This window comes from Homo sapiens, chromosome 1 (assembly GCF_000001405.40).
Source record: "Homo sapiens chromosome 1, GRCh38.p14 Primary Assembly".
In the NCBI taxonomy this organism is placed as follows: Eukaryota; Metazoa; Chordata; class Mammalia; order Primates; family Hominidae; genus Homo; species Homo sapiens.
The window spans coordinates 211,752,646-211,770,301 of record NC_000001.11 but is presented as its reverse complement, the minus strand read 5'-3'; the positions used below and the strand labels follow the sequence as shown (position 1 = coordinate 211,770,301).

Below are 17,656 nucleotides of genomic sequence, written 5' to 3'. Positions count from 1 at the left end.
ACACACACAAATCGATGCAGCCAATCTGAAGAGCAGTTTAGCAATATTTTAAATTATCTATGACATAGCAGTTCTACTTGGGGCTATATATCCTAGAGAAAGACAGGATATTACTGCAAGATATTTTGTAAGAGTAACAAATTAGAAATAATCTAAATGTCCATTAGTAGAGGGATGACTAAATAAAATATTGTGTATTATTTTTTGTTATGAGAGCATTAAAAATATCATGTATTCTTCAAAGGAATATACTTAACAGATTTTTATTTCTGAGTGTTTGACTCCTTCACTAGTATGTCTAATAGTCCTCTTGTCAGAGGCATTTGAACCAGAGCAACTCCATCTTGAGTAGGGGCTGGGTAGAATAAGGCTGAGACCTACTGGGCTGCATTCCCAGGTGGTTAAGGCATTCTAAGTCATAGGATAAGAGGTTATGGCACAAGATACAGGTCATAGAGACCTTCCTGATAAAACAGGCTGCAGTAAAGAAGCTGGCTAAAACCCACCAAAATCAAGATGGGAACAGGAGTGACCTCTGGTTTTCCTCACTGCTACACTCCTGCCAGCACCATGACAGTTTACAAATGCCATGGAAATGTCAGGAAGTTACCTTATATGGTCTAAAAGGGGAGGCATGAATAATCCACCCCTTGTTTACCGTATAATTAAGAAATAACCATAAAAATGGGCAGCCAGCAGCCATCAAGGCTGCTCTGTCTATGGAGTAGCCATTCTTTTATTCCTCTACTTTCTTTATAGATTTGCTTTCACTTTAGTCTATGGACTCACCCTGAATTCTTGCCCGAGATCCAAAAATCCTCTCTTGCGGGCTGGATCAGGACCCCTTTCCCATAACACTCTCTCAAACTGAACTGTGGATTTTCCTAAAAATATATACTCCTTCATAGCCTTTACCATCTCATTATTGATAGCAGCCTCCATCCTTCCTGTCACTTAGATCAGAAGCCTTGGGGTCGTCCATGGCTCCTCTTTTTCTCTCATATTCCACATCCACTCAGTCAGGAAATCTTTTTGCTTCTAAATTTAAATACATATCCCCTGACCACTTCTTTTCATCCTGGTCCTAGCCACTATCACCTCTACCCTGCTCCTAGATTACTACATAAGCTCCTAGTGTGTCATCCTATTTTTACCTTTGTCCGCTGGAGAATTCCAACATAGTATCCAGAGTGCTCCTTTTAAAAGTCAAATTGTGTCTGTGCTAGGCTCAGAATTCCATCATGGCTTCCCATCTAAAAACCCCTGAAGTCTTAGAGTGGTATCTAAGGCCTTATTTGACCTCTTCCTTCTACTCCTTAGTCATTCCCCTGTGTCTATACTGGCTTTCTTGCTGTTACTGAACATCCCAAACGTATTCCTACTTCATGTTCCTACTGACTGTTTCCTCCTCCACGAGAAGTCTTCCCTTGGAAATCTGTATGAAAATCACCATCACTGCCTTCAGGCCTGCTCAAATGTCCTCTTACCACCCTACTTCAAATTGCAGTTGTTCCCCTCAGTCTAATATGCTTAAGAGGATTTGGGATGATTTTCTAATGATATTTCTTGTATTTGAGCATTATAAAAATGGTATTCAAAGCTCATTTCATAGAGATAATGTCACACCATAGATACCAGAATTAAGCTCTGAAAACCACACGATAGAGATATGTGTTTTGACACATATTAACGTCTCTGAAATTGGGAGACATCTTAAAATCAATGTAATAATGCACTGGCTATAATTTAATTGGACATTTGGCAGGCAGCACTTCAAACAAAAGTCTAAACGATAAATGTTGTTCCTTTCCCTGCCCCACAAAAAAAGAGCAGGCAGCATAGTGGCTGCCATGTGGTTAGAGCTCAACTGTTGACAGTGGGTGCCTCTGGGGAGGGACTCGTACTTTTCATTGTACTATTTGAGTGTTTTTTACAATATGCATGTATTCTTCAATTAAAAATAACTAATTCAAAAAAGAAATTGCCCACAGAATTTAGGATTTTGGTTTAATAACTATTTGAATAATTGCAACAAAAGCATTTTCATCTGGTAGGTATAAAAATTTAATAAGCTCACATTTCAAATGCATACCATTTAATAAGATACTAAATAGGTTTTTCCCTTTTAAATCAAGGATATTGAAATACTCAAATTACATAGTCTAGATTTTCATATTCTAGTGTTTTATCCATAATTTAAAACTGAGCTTTAAGAGATTTTAATTTACATAATTCTTTTTTGACATAAAAGTTAGAACAAAGTAAAATAAAATTAATATAGTAAAAATCAGTTATTCAACATATTGGGGACCAACTTTTAGGTCAACTTTTTGTAATAACTGAGAGTAACTCTAAGGTATACACCCTCGGGTACAGTAATGATATATGTTCAGGTCTTTGCCACCCTCAGCCCCAGCCCCAAAATTACTCACCTAATGATAATATTGCCTTTAAGGATTTTTGAGCTAATAGTTTCATTTTTTCCCCAGTAGAAGGAAACAGTGTCCTATCTTTAGTTTTTCTTATGCTAGGACTTTTCTCTATCATTGCTTATAATTATTGATAATTTCATCTCTACTTCAGCTATCTAATAATTTTCTTCTTCTTTTCTGCTTTTCTTATCATCACTTGTTTTTTATTGCTTTGCCTCCATATCCTGCTCTTCCCTAGAGAAGTCTGTATGTTTTTCGCCATCAGTCACTGTTCAGAGCTACCAGTTGGAAAATGGAAAATTACATATTAACTTTAAACAAGTTTTTAGTTCTGCTTCACTGTTGTTATTAAATGTTCACTGCCTAAAAGTTTTTATTTTCCACACCAGCAGGTTTTCCCCCTTTGCTTCAAAAAAAACTAATAAAACTTTTCAGGCTGGGTATGATGGCTCATGCCTGTAATCCCAGCACTTTGGGAGGCCGAGGTGAATGGATCACTTGAGGTCAGGAGTTCGAGATCAGCCTGGCCAACATAGTGAAATCTCATCTCTACTAAAAAAAAAATTAGCTGGGCATGGTGACATGTGCCTCTAATCTCAGCTACTTGGGAGGCTGAGGCAGGAGAATCACTTGAACCCAGGAGGCAGAGGTTGCAGTGAGCCAAGATCATGCCACTGCATTCCAACCTGGGTGACAGAGTGAGACCATGTCTCAAAAGAAAAAAAGAAAAAAACTTTTCAGTTTGATGTCATTCAGGATGGAGACATGAAATAAGTGGTCTTAATTGAGGTTTAGCTATATTGTGAATCAAATTCTGTGTTTCTGTAATGATGTTGAAGAATCAGGTGAATCATCCTTACAAATAAGGTAAAATTTCTATTCTCTAATTGGAAGATATGCCTAATTTCAGATATTTAGAAAAAGTATACATGAAAGAAATTTTTTATGTTACCATAATAAGTCAGGGTTCTCCAGAGAAACAGAATCAATAGGACATATAGATGGTCCCTGACTTAAGGTAGTTAACTTCATGATTTTTTGACTTTATGATGGTGTGAAAGTAATAGACGTTCAGTAGATACCACAATTTGAATCTTGAATTTTGATCTTTTCCCAGGCTAGTGATATGCGGTACACTACTCTCTGGAGATACTGGGCAGTGGCAGTGAGCTGCAGCTCCCAGTCAGCCACATGATCATGAGGGTAAACAACCAATACTCCACAGTGTACTGTGTTGCCAGTACTTTTTGGATATTGTGTTTTTTGTTTTCACATCCCATCATCTCTACAAAATGCCCATCTGTGTGCAGTATTAAACACTTTATTATAGAATAGGCTTTGTGTTAGATGATTGCCCAACTGTAGTTTAATGTAAATGTTCTCAGCACATTTAAGGTATGCTAGGTTAAGCTATGATGTTCAGTAGGTTAGGTGTATTAAATGCATTTTCGACTTACAATGGGTTTATCACAATGTAACCCCGTTGTAAGTCAAGGATCATCTGTATAAAGATATGTAGAAAGAGATTTATTATGAGAAATTGGCTCATGTGATTATGGCTGCTGAGAAGTCCCACAGTCTGCTGTCTGTAAGCTGGAGGCCTGGGAAAGCCAGTGGTGTCGTTCCGGTCCAAGCCTGAAGGACTGAGAACCAAGGGAGCCAACGTTGTCAGTTCTAGTCTAAGTCTGAAAGCCGAAGAACTGGGGAGCTGATGGTGTAAGTCCTGGTCCAAGTCAAAAGGCCTTGAGAATTGGGGTACTAACTGTGTAAGTCCCAGTCTCAGTCTGAAAGCCCAGGAACCAGGAGCACTGATGTTGAAGGGGAGGAGAAGATGTATGGCCCAGCTCAAGCAGAGAGAGTAAATTTGCCCTTCCTCTACCTTTTTGTTCTCCTTGGGCCCTCAATGGATTAAATGTTGCCTTCCCACATTGCGGGGGAAGGGAGTGTCCACTTTACTCAATTCATCAATTCAGATGCTATTTTCTTCCAGAAACACACACACAGACACACTTAGAAATAATGTTTTACCAGCTATCTGGGCATCCCTTAGCCCAGTCTAGACTTAGCCCAGATATGAAAAATTAACCTATACACATAGAACTAAAATAATAACAGACAAAGCTAATTTACTGGGTTATTATCAATAGATGAATGTGGATATAATATGATCTTGAAAATATTATAATTTGGTAAGTAACTGGAAATAAGCATTGGAAATAAAGAATTCTCTCCCCACCTCCTTGACTCTTTGGGGGTTTACCATGTCTTTTTCACTTTTAGGTCTTCTTAAGGTCTAGCAAAGTGCCATTGTTATTCCAAAAATACCTCTTATTTTCTAATATAGTTTTGTTGGAAATATTATGCCCCCAAATACAAAAATTCCTAGGGTTTTAATTTTAATTGGACAATGGTTAAACATAATTCTCACTGATAATTGCTGTTTATTTTTTACTTAGTCATTGAATCTGAGAAATGGAAGGACTACCTAGATCTTTTTGTCTAACCTTTTCATTTAACTTATTCTCAAAATTTGAGTGAAAAAAATGACAGAAAAAATAGATATGGATAGAGAGAATGACAAAGTAAAGCAAATGTGAGAAATATTAACATTTGGGGAATCTGGGTGAAGCATATGAGAATTTTTATACTATTTTTACAACTTTTCTTTGAGTCTGAAATTATTTCAAAATAAAAAGTTTAAAAACATCGTTAGACACATGGAAAGTGTAATAGTGATTCTCTTAAGCAGAGAAACCAATGTCAGATTTTGCTTACCGGAGAGTTCACTTCTGCTCAATCAGCAAGCATTTGTTAAGCATCTTACTGTGTGTCTCAAAGGATATAAAATTAATAAAGATATAATAAATTCCAGTTCTAAAAATGCCATCTCATTGTTTGTATCTCCAAATGGCATTTTGAGGGCTCTTGACTGTTGCAAGGAACAAGGCTCAAGAGGAGGGCTCAGTTATCCTTGACTGAGAAGGGGAAGCAGTGGCCTAGGTGCTAAGTATTTGCCATCTTCCTATCTACACAAACTTTAAAGTCACTCAAAAGTATCTGCTGGTATGTCCCTAGGTTTGCTACCTGTATAGTCTTTGGAAATACCTGCCTTGGTTTATTTCCTGTATTAAAGTAGGTAAAAGTTCATATTTGAGTTTCTGAAATTTATTTTCAGATAACTGAGTGATTTCTTTTTTAAACTGTTCTAATAGTTCCAGGGGGAAGCTATAAATATTACATTTTAGTATGTTGTTAGGCCTAACAGCTTAGCTCAGGATAATGGCTTAAAGTAAAACTTCTGGGAATTGAATGCTGGGAGATATTCTGATACGTTAAATTTGACAGTTTCTGTTTTTGTCCATAAATCTATTTTTTGTAACAAGTAGTTTCTGGATTTCTGAGTTATTGTTGCCACACTAACCCTGGTAGTGTCCATGAACATTGATGATTGTCTACAGATGACACCACATAAAGTTTTGTGCTCACAGATTACTGTAATTTAATTCTGTTCAGCAAACCTGAGTTCCTACTAAGGACTAGGCACTGATTTATACACTGGGTGCAAAGCTGAGAATAGCGCAGTCTGTTAGACAAAACAGGCACATGAGAAAATAAATAGAGCACAAACTAATAGGTATAATCATAGACACAGTTACAAAAGACAGTTGGCACTGAGAAGGATTTTTTTTTTTTTTTTGAGATGGAGTCTCTCTCTAGTCGCCTAGGCTGCAGTGCAGTGGCATGATCTCAGCTTGCTGCAACCTTTGCCTCCTGGGTTCAAGTGATTCTCCTGCCTCAGCCTCCCACATAGCTGGGATTACAGGCACATGCCATCACGCTCAGCTAATTTTTGTATTTTTAGTAGAGACAGAGTTTCACCATTTTGGCCAGGCTGGTCTCAAACTCCTGACCTCAGGTGATCCACCCGCCTTGGCCTCTCAAAGTGCTGGGATTACAGGCATGAGCCATGGCACCCAGCCCAAGAAGGAATTTTTAATTATCTAGGAGAGGAGAAGGAGGAAGCTGAAGGAGAAGAGGACAATGGTTTAAGATAGTCAAATTCTTACCTGCCGTAGTAGGAAACCAACAAATAAATTTTAAATAGGATAATCTGGAAATAGTGCTATTAAAACATTTATAATCTATATGGAAATAGCAAAAGAAACAGAGGGGTTGTATCTGAGAAACAGGTGTCTGAGGGAGGAAAGTATAGGGCCATCATTTTTTGTTGTCTACCCTGTGGTATGCTTTGACTTTTAGAAATTATATACGTATGTTACTTAACAAAGTAAAAAAAATCCTATATCTAAGTTAATTTTCTATTGCTGTAATAAAATATCTGAGACTATGTAATTTATAAAGAATGTAAGTTTCTTTCTCACAGTTGTGGAGGCTGATCTTGGGATCAGGTGGCTGCATCTAGTTGGCTTCTGGTGAGAGCCTTGTGCTGCTTCATAACATGGCAGAAGGCATCACAGGGTGAGAGAGAAGCGCTGAGAGCCAAAGTGGCTTTTAGAACAGACTCACTCTTGTGATAACTAACCTACTCCATTGATAACTCATTAATCCATTAATCCTTGAATGGATTAATCTATTCATGAAAGCAGAACACTCATGACCAAATCACCTTTTAAAGGCCTCACCTCTTAATACTGACATTGGAGATTAAGTTTGAACTTGAGTTTCAGAGACAAACACATTCAAACCATAGCATTCTTCTTACTTTTTTAGGCCAAATTCAAGTGATATCTCTTTTATATGTCCCATGCCATAAGTAGATACACACATTCCCTCATTTAAACTCACGCAGTAGTTCTCTAAAATCCTCACACAATATTTATCATATTCTGGTTGTTACTTTTCTTTTCCCTCAGCTAGATGATTAGCTATTTGAAAGCAGGAATTGTTTATTTCAGAATCTTCTTCGGTGCTTAGTTCCTTACACAATCTTGACATAATTGAATTGAGGGTTTAGCCATGTTGTTTGTCAGCTCACATTTTGGAGTCTTGACGTAAAAATTCAAATGCTCCAACTCCAGTATAGGGGGTGCCAGCTGCTAAGTATTATTTTACATTTTTTTTGAAAGTGTAATTTCATCTAGTGCTTTTAAATCTGACTATGGATTTTGGTAGTATATTCTCTATTTAAGAGCACATTCTGAATTACTGATAATAAGAATGTTCATTTCTTGAAAATTAGGAGCTAGTTTTTCATTTGGGTAGCTATTGGTATTGTAAAGGTTTATTTCTGGTGTATATGTATTTACTTATTTAAATCCCACAAGCACTCCTCTGATTTGATTTCAAGAGGACTGGTATTCAATGTATTTAATCCTTTGCCATATTAGGGGATTAGTCATTTTAATATTTTAATCCTATGGTGACCAATCAGAGTAATAGAAGTAGATTGCTCTTGAGGGAGCATTTGTTCTGCCCTCCTGGCTGTCTCCTAAGAGAAGAGAATATCCCAGCTATTCTGGGCAGATGGTAGAAGAGGTTGTCTTTCAACACATAGCCCCGTCCCCGTGTTCAACCCCATTGAAGCAATAGATACTTCACCAGCATTCTTTTGTGAATTCAACTGGTAAACCCAAACTTCCTCGGTTTAATTCAGCCTTATTTTTAATGTTCTTCTGTTTAATTCAGCTTTAATTCAGCTTTATTTTTAATGTCAATTTTCTCCTTATAAAGATATTTTAGATACTATTTTGAGATCTCTTTTAGCCCTGTGGCCCTTGCTAAGTTATCCTTAAGTTGATTAGACCTAATTTTATATTAACAGAAGCTAAATTAATCTTATAAAGTAATTACATACTGCAAGTATTATCTGATGTGAGTCAACAAGTTTTTATCTGTCTTACAAAGAGTACCTATTCTGTGCTAACCACTGGGACTATGGCCTTCTTAGACCAGAGGAAACTTTATGGAAGCTTTATTTATTTTAGGATTTAGAAGATGGTGGATAGAATTTAGGTAGCTAGAGATGGGACTGGTAGATGGGTGGGCATTTTGTGCAGTAGTAACTATGAACAAACACACAGAACTATGGAAGTATAGCACACGTGTTAGAAACAATAAGTTGTCTGTAATATGCATACATAAATTGAAGTTCTGGGAAATATGGTTGGAAAGTTGAGTTCAGATTTTGGTATACCTTAAAAGCCAAGCTAACTATTTGTATCTCTAAGTAACTCAAAGTCCAATTCAAACAGACTTTCACAATAAGGGAATTTATTAGCTCACATAATTGGACATTGAAAATAGAACAGGATGATGTACTTAATCTGGTGATTCAAGCTCTGTTTCTCCCAGTTCTGCTTTCCTCTGTGTTGGTTTCATCCTCAGCCAGTAGCTCTGAGGAAATGTAAGACCTCACACTTCCATGAAGATAAAGACAAGAGAAAAAATAGATTTTTTTTTCTTGTAATCCCTCTTTAACTTTTCCCTAAAGCCCCACAGAACTTTCATTATCATCTCCATGGCCCTAATTGGTTATGAGCCCATTGCTACACCCCAATACTTGTCATGAAGAGAATGATATATGATGACAGGTCTGACATGGGTTTTTAATGAGAAGGGTGCCAAGACTACCAGAATTGGCTGAGTGATAATAGATTGGCAGACATTTGCTTGGGATAAATTTATTTTGTTTTTTAAAGAAAAGCTAGATAATCCTTTCCCTTGGTGAGAGGATTCCTGCAAGTGGTGGCATGCATAAGCCTTTTATACTAAGCAGTGAGTGTCAACAAAGCAGAAATAGAATAGTTTTAGGAGTCAAAAAGTAATTCAAGTATTTGGCTGCTACTCAGGATGGTAAAGGTGAATAGTTAAAAAAGCGCTACATAGGCTGCAAAAATGTGTTAAGACCATATTAAATTATCTAAAAGTAAAAACTCAGTAATTTGTAATACCTTTCACTTAAGAAAAATCTGATTTTTAAATTTTAAGACATGCCTCTAATATCAAGGTGAAGTTAATTGACCTTCCTAAATATCCAAACATTTAAGGACATTTAAATTGGAGGAAAGAGAAAGAAACAATTAGATTTCCTGAATAGTTAATAGTTCCTATGTTGCTCCGAGCACCCTTCTGTCTAGAACCGTAATGTATTAGCTAAGAATTGCGGAGCTTTATTCTGCTCGGAGTCTGCCCCATACATACATAGTTCAGAGGTCATCAATTTTAAGAGGTGAGAAAATAGAGTTTGCTTTTAAGTATGCACCCATTTACTTTTCTGGACCTTTACTTTTTAGTACTGCTTTGTACCAAAATTATTATAAATATAGGCACCAAATTCCAATGGTAGTACTTAATTATAGATACTTATCTTATGATTCAGAATGTTTTTATTAATGAAGATTAATGTTGAAATGAAAACACAATATATCTGTATTCTTTTTTGAGGGGGGTTGGGGGGACGGAGTTTTGCTATTGTTGCCCAGGCCGGAGTGCAGTGATGCAATCTCGGCTCACCGCAACCTCTGCCTCCCAGGTTCAAGTGATCCTCCTGCCTCAGCCTCCCGAGTTGCTGGGACTACAGGCATGTGCCACCACGCCTGGCTAATTTTTTGTATTTTTAGTAGAGACGGGGTTTCTCTGTGTTAGCCAGGATGGTCTCCCTACCTCAGGTGATCTGCCTACCTCGGCATCCCAAAGTGCTGGGATTACAGGCGTGAGCCACCACGCCCGGCCCGATATCTCTATTCTTAAAGAGACTTCATGGATGGATTTCCACGAATATGTCCCCAGTCAGGCATAGCCCAGTTAGTTAAGAAACACTACTAGCCATCCTCTATACCTAAGTGAGAACCTTCTGACTTGGTAATTCTCCAATTTAAAAATCTTTCAGTAAGAATCAGTCTCACAAGTTGCTAATGAAAATATAAATTGGTACAATCTTTATAAAGATAATATAGCAATATCTTTCAAAATTACTACTACATTTAGCTTTTGACACAGCAATTTCACTTCTGGAAATTTATCCTATAAACTTACATATGAATGAACATTTGTATAATGCTATTTGTTGCCACATTGTTTCTAATAACAAAAGATGAGAAACTGTTTATCAGTAGAGCATAAGAGGAATTTAATGTTTACTGTGTATTAAGAGATTACAATGAAAATTCAAAAATATTGTTTGCAGAATGATAATGAAAATATTATCTATCAAAAGTTGTGAGATGTAGCTTAATCTATGCATAGGAAGGATTTATAGCCTTAGAATGCTAATATTATAGAAAGTAAGAAAGCTAAAAATCAGTAATCTAAATATTTATCTCAATAAGAAAAAGAAAAGCAAATTAAATCCAATTACAGTAGAAAGCGGGAAAAATGAAGGAGAATTTGTTGAAATAGGAAACATATGGTAGAAATAGCAATACCAGAAAATTTCATTTCTTTGAAAACACTGTTAACTACATTACCAATATCAAGAATGAAAAGGGGGATATCACTACAAATCTTATAGTTACTAAAAAGAGGAGCTGGGTATGGTATATGTGCACCTGTATTCCCAGCTGCTCAGGAGACTGTGGCAGGAGAATCCTTTGAAACCAGCCTGGGCAACAACAGCAAGACCCCGTCTCTAAAAAAACCAAAACAAAATAGTAAAAGGACATTAAACACAACTCTTCCAGAGCATAGAAGAAGAAAGGATACTTCCTAAGCTTGTTTTATCGGGATAGCATAACATTGACACCAAAACCTGAACTAAAGATGTTATAAGAAAGGAAAATTTACAGGCAGACCTCTTACATGGTTATAGATGCAAGATAAAACCCAGCAATATATATTAAAATATGTAATGTTATATAGTGACAGCATACATCCTAGGATTGAAAGGTTGGTTTAAAATTCAAATCAATCAAAGTAGTTCATATTAACAAAATATAGGGGAAAATTACATACCCATTTCAATCGATAAAAAAATTCTTAATAAAATGCAACTCATTGATGATAAAAAAGAAAACACTCTTAGCAAATTGGAAATAGAAGGGAATTTCTTCTATTAAGGCTAATCTGATTAATGGTATCTATAAAAAATTTTACAGCAAATAATATACTTAATTGGTTGAATATTTATCCCTGAAAGATTAAGAATGAAAGAGAAGGATGCTTATTATCACTGTACTAGAACATTATACTAGAGGTTCTTTTTTTTTTCTGAGACGGAGTCTCACTCTGTCACCTAGGCTGGAGTGCATTGGTGTGATCCTGGCTCACTGCAAGCTCCGCCTCCTGGGTTCATGCCATTCTCCTGCCTCAGCCTCCCGAGTAGCTGGGACTACAGGCATCCACCACCATGCCCGGTTTATTTTTTGTATTTTTAGTAGAGATGGGGTTTCACCGTGTTAGCCAGGATGGTCTCCATCTCCTGACCCCTGTGGTCTGCCCACCTCAGCCTCTCAAAATGCTGGGATTACAGGTGTGAGCCACAATGCCCGGCCCTGTACTAGAGGTTCTTACCAGAGCAATATGACAAGAAAAATAAAAGTGTTAACATAGGAAAGGTAAAAACAAAATTGTCACTATTTGCATTAATTTGTCTTTTACCTGCAAATTAAAATTGTAAGGTTCCTTGGTAGGTACAGACATTCAATCATTCACTGACTCAAATTGAGCCTAACCCTTATATGTAAATGGCTATTTCATATAACCAGATACCTGGAAACTTCTTAGAAAAGAAGTTAGGAAAAGGCACTTTATGAAACTATTTTTAAATCATCTTTTCAAATCCACTTCAAATGGACATGATGGCAGGAGTTTGGCCTTTTGCAGCCAAGGAGCCAAGATACAGCAGGGTGAGGAGATGTAAGCCTAGCATTATATGGTGAGCACAGAACATTTTTCCATGGAAACATGTTTGCCTGGTGGCTGAATTCTGTAGAATTTCATATATACTGCAAGCGAAGTAGCCTATCAAAGCAAACTTAGGATCTTCTATATCCTATAACTTTCCCACCATAGGAATTTTTGGTTAAAATGTAGGGGGCACAAAGAGGAGGCAATAAAATTATTGAGACATCTTTTCTAACATGAGCATTTCTTACAATTCAAAAGATGGAAGTTACCCTTTGAAGAGATGGAAAGTTAAACTTGTTTAATTAGGCAGAGACTCTTCATTTGAAATTTTATCTCCTTGTCTCTGTTCCTCTGATTACATCAATATTGATATTAACAGCGTCTTCAGAATCTCTGTCAAGACTTCATCTTTTAAATTCTTGGTATTGACTTTATTATCTGACTATATGAAAATAGTCATGGAATGCTAAACCCATGACACCTGCAGATCCAGTGCAGTCACTACAACTATTGCTGAACCCAAAAAACCTGGAAGCACAATAATGCTGACCTTAAATGATCTGGCACTTAATCAGCACAACCAATACTAGCATTTGTATGAGTGTTTATCATATGCCAAATATATGTATATATGTAAGCACTTTACATATTTAGCAACTTTGTAAGGTAAGTAATATGATTAGCCCCATCTTAAACACAAGGGAAGTAAGTCATACAGCAGTTAAACAATTTTCCCAAGGTCACGCAACTGGCAAGTGGTAGAGTCAGGATTCAACCCCAGGCAGTCTGCCCAATAGCTTTTTTTTTTTTTGAGACAGAATTTTACTCTTGTTGCCCAGGCTGGAGTACAGTGGTACGATCTCGGCTCACTGCAACCTCCGCCTTCCAGTTTCAAGCTATTCTGCCTCAGCCTCCCGAGTAGCTAGGATTACAGGCACCTGCCACCACATCTGGCTAATTTTTGTATTTTTAGTAGAGACGAGGTTTCACCATGTTGGCCAGGCTGGTCTCGAGCTCCTGACCTCGTGATCTGCCCACCTCAGCCTCCCAAAGTCCTGGGATTACAGGTGTGAGCCACCGCACCTGGCGTGATAGTTTGTATGCTTAATCACTAGGCCACACTGTCTTCTGGGATTATTTTAATTGTGCCCAAAAAGCAAAGACTCTCCATGTGTGGAAAAAAAAAAAAAGAGAGAAAAAAAAAAAAACAAAGCAAACACTGTTGTAGAAGGGAATCTCAGCCAGGGAGTCCCACTCACTCACTCAGTGAGGCATATCAGAACCTGAGCTGGAGAATGCAGAGGAAAAATGTTTAGTTTGAAAGAGATCTTTAAATTACTTAGGAGTAAAGGTGTTAAAAGGGCTACGAATGCTAACCTATAGGATGATTTTATGTGGCATCAGCATTTCCAATATTTTTTCTTTTTTTAAAAGTTGACTGAGCACAGTGGCTCACTCAATTCCACCACTTTGGGAGACCGAAGAGGGTGTATCTCTTGAGCCCAGGAGTTCGAGACCAGCCTGGGCAATATGGGGAAACCCCGTCTCTACAAAACACAACAACAAAAAAATTAGCTGGGCATGATGATGCGCACCTGTGGTCCCAGCTACTCAGGCTGAGGTGGGAGGATCACTTGAGCCTGGGAAGTCAAGGCTGCTGTGAGCTGTGATCATGCCACTACGCTCCAGCCTGAGTGACAGAGTGAGACAAAAAAAAAGACATTCTTTAATTCATCTTTCTGTTGTTAGCTTATTCAGAACAATGGTAAATTCAAGTTGTAATAATAAGGGATGATAGGGGATTTTTTTTGTTTTGGTTTGGTTTTTTTTGAGACGGAGTCTCCCTCTGTTGCCCAGGCTGGAGTGCAGTGGTGCAATCTTAGCTCACTGCAACCTCCACCTCCTGGGTTCAAGCAATTCTCCTGCCTCAGCCTCCCGGGTAGCTGGGACTACAGGCACGTGCCACTATGCCGGGCTAGTTTTTGTATTTTTAGTAGAGACGGGATTTCACCATATTGGCCAGGCTTGTCTCAAACCCCTGACCTCATGATCCACCTGCCTCGGCCTCCCAAAGTGCTGAGATTATAGGCGTGAGGCAGATAATAGGGGATTTTACAGCAGCAAGCTGAAACTTGAAGTTTCTGGACCTTAGGATCTCCCACTCCATTAAAATATTTCATCAACCAAAACGCTTTTATATTACTGCTGTAGAGCAATGTAGTATTGTATTTTGGGAGATAGAAGGTTATTAAGAATGGGAGAGTTATTTTCTGTGTAAATAAGACTCTATTTTGGTTATCTTTCATCCTTTCAAATTTTTGAAAGTAAAATTTTAATCAAAAGCATGTGAGTTCTTTTTTTTTTTTTCTTTTTTGAGATGGAGTCTTGCACCTCAGTCTCCCAAAGTACTGGGATTACAGGTGTGAGACACCATGCCCAGCCCTGTGTGATTTTCAAATTGGTTTTTAATAGATTTTTCATGCCACACTCCTTCCTTCTTTCCTCTATTTTTTTTCTGTCTACTCGCACTTAAATTTGGGTTTTAAAATACTCCCCCAATCTGATATTTAAATGTTTAAATAACAAGAGAAAGAGGTATCATTATAATGTAATTCATAAGTAATATTCTTTTCTGATTTTTTTTTCAATATTTATTTGCTGGTCTAAACATCATGTTCTACTATCTATACTATAAAATTTTTTATTTATTTTTATTTTTATTTTTTTTGAGACGGAGTCTTGCTCTGTCACCCAGGCTGGAGTGCAGTGGTGCGATCCTGGCTCACTGCAACGTCCACCTCCTAGATTCAAGCAGTTCTCCTGCCTCAGCCTCCCAAGTAGCTGGGACTACAGGCGCATGCTGCCACACCTGGCTAATTTTTTTGTATTTTTAGTAGAGACGGGGTTTCACCGTGTTAGCCAGGATGGTCTCAATCTCCTGACCTCGTGATCCACCCACCTCTGCCTCCCAAAGTGCTGGGATTATAGGCGTGAGCCACCTCGCCTGGCTTTTTTTTTTTTTTTTGGAGACGGAGTCTTGCTCTGTCGCTTCGAGACTGAGTCTTACTCTGTCGCCTGGGCTGGAGTGCAGTGGCGCCATTGCGGCTTGCTGCAACCTCCACCTCCTGGGTTCAAGCAGTTCTCTGCCTCAGCCTACCTAGTAGCTGGGATTACAGGCGCCTGCCACCACGCCTGGCTAATTTTTTTTATTTTTAGTAGAGACGGGGTTTCACCATCTTGACCAGGCTGGTCTTGAACTCCAGACTTTGTGATCCATCCACCTCAGCCTCCCAAAGTGCTGGAATTACAGGTGTGAGCCACCGCACCTGGCCTAAGATGTTTTTATAATGGTATGCATCATTATAATTTTCAAATCCCTAGTAAGGAACTAACACTCATTTTGCCTAAACCCAAAATAGCAATGGAGGCCCCTTTAAGAATGATAAGTGGTAGGCCCTGGCCAAAGATAGCAAATCATCTTAGATCTTTCAGAAATAACAGGTGAACTTTTCAAAAGACATAGTAGATTGGACTTATGTTTACTTCCTGCTCTCCTAAAACCCCCATAAAATAACACTAAATGGGTTTTTAAAGGTGTAAACCCACAAGGATGAGGAAAACAGCCTGAAAGACAATGGCGGCAAAAGTTGGGAAGTTGGAAAAAAGAACGAGCAGTAAATAACATAACAGAACCCCAAGCCAGCTGTGGGAAAGCCAGGAGCCAACCTTATACCATAGAACTTCCAAAAGTCTGGCAGCATCAGCACCTGTGGAAATGAGGTTGAAAGCATTACTAAACTTGGGAAGACTGGTTGAAATCTAAGAAGAATGCAGATCCCGCAGCCCCTACCCTATATCCCACAGCTGGGTAATTACTTTTCCCTACCCTGGCAAACATTGGAGGCTTACTCTGGAGAGGGAAATAGGGGCTCTGTGGACTGAGGAACAACAGATACAACTGAGGCAGAGGTCTCATAATTAAAACAGCATGGTGAAGTGATGTCAGTGTGCTGAGTGCTAAGATTCCCAGCCCTCTTATCTCACTGGCTACCGGAAAGCTAGCAATCGGGCCTTCACTCTCTAAGCAGGAAATCAGAGGATGTTTCTTTGGGGAAGGGGATGAGTTTAAGAGAAGAGACCAATTTTAATGGCCCAGCCGAGATAATCCTCAGTGAGGGTAACAGGCAACAGACTCCACTTGTAAGCTGAGAGCTTTCAATCAGCCATTCAGTCCCACATCTGTAAATGTGATGGAACAACAAAGAATGTCAGATAACTAGTAATCTAATGGACCTGAACTCTTGAAAGATAAAGACTAAAGCAAACACAAGAAGGTGACATGGAGGACCAGACTATACAGGGCAAGGTCTGCTTCTAGAATTCCTAATAGTACATGGGGGTTCATTAACCTTTTTCTCTCCTCTTGTGAATGTTTAAAAATTTCCATTATAATTTAAAAAACTTATTATAAACATAAGATATTGTAGCAATAATACAATAATAGCATACTATAAAAAAGACTGAGAACAATAGGAGCTCTTTAAAAATTAAAAAGACCTGAGTGTGAGCAATTTATTCATTTATAAAAAGAAAAAAAGCAAAAAAATAAAATACAATAAAGGAAATAAAAACTCCATAAAACATTTAGAAGTTAAATAAGAAATCTTCCAGAAAGGAGGTCAGAAAGATAAGAGATGGAAGAAAATGGTTTTTAACCTTGAATCCTATATCTAGCCAAACTATCAACCAAGTTCGAGGACAGAAAAAAGACATTGGCAGACCTCCAAGATTTCAAATACTGTTTGTCAAGAAACTGCTAAAGGATGTCCTCATCAAAAGTAATCAGTGAAAGAGACATGAGGTATAGTTAACATTCTATTCGATTTAGGAGTGCAGGGACTCACCAGGACAATGGTGAAGGGACCTCCTAATGTGAGACTACAGGCAGCATCTGGGTGAAATTTCTTTAGGAAGGTGAAATTGAAAGAATGTCTGATGCAAGGGGATTGCTTAGGAGGAAGATTTAGACCACAGGTCTGCCTGCCCACTGCCTGTTTTTTAAATAAAATTTTATTTGAACACAGCTACTGTGTATTATTTATACATTGTCTCTGGCTGCTTTCATACTACAAAGATAGAATTGAGTAGTTGTGACAGGATAGTATAGCCTGTGTCAACTTTAAATAACAAGATTCAAGAAATATGTCAAATGTAAAGGTTATTAGGCACAAAGCTTGAGGACAGCCACCCAGGAAGCACAGATTCCAAAAATTGGAAGTCAGTATTCCAAAGTGTAGAAGTTTGGGGTTGTTTATATAGAAAAGGTTTAGGGAAGCTTAACAAAATTTCAACACCTTTCTACATAAGGTTTAATGCATAGTTACAGTGATCTGATTGGGCAAGGTGGTCTTTTTCTTTCC

The 17,656-nt window shown here is 38.0% G+C and overlaps 1 protein-coding gene across 10 annotated transcripts in view, besides 1 other annotated feature; it reads left to right on the top strand.

Annotated features, from left to right (window-relative positions):
* Positions 1-17,656, top strand: part of LPGAT1 (lysophosphatidylglycerol acyltransferase 1) — an 87,307-nt gene that overhangs the window by 60,462 nt on the left and 9,189 nt on the right. The gene's annotated exons all lie outside the window — the stretch shown is intronic.
* Positions 4,570-4,739: an enhancer, noted in NCBI's record as "experimental_3241 CRE fragment used in MPRA reporter constructs". NCBI's record gives its function as "activates a minimal promoter by MPRAs in K562 erythroleukemia cells, with activity observed for both the introgressed and non-introgressed 1:211938990 variant alleles {active_cell/tissue: K562}" and the evidence as "EXISTENCE:reporter gene assay evidence [ECO:0000049][PMID:34662402]".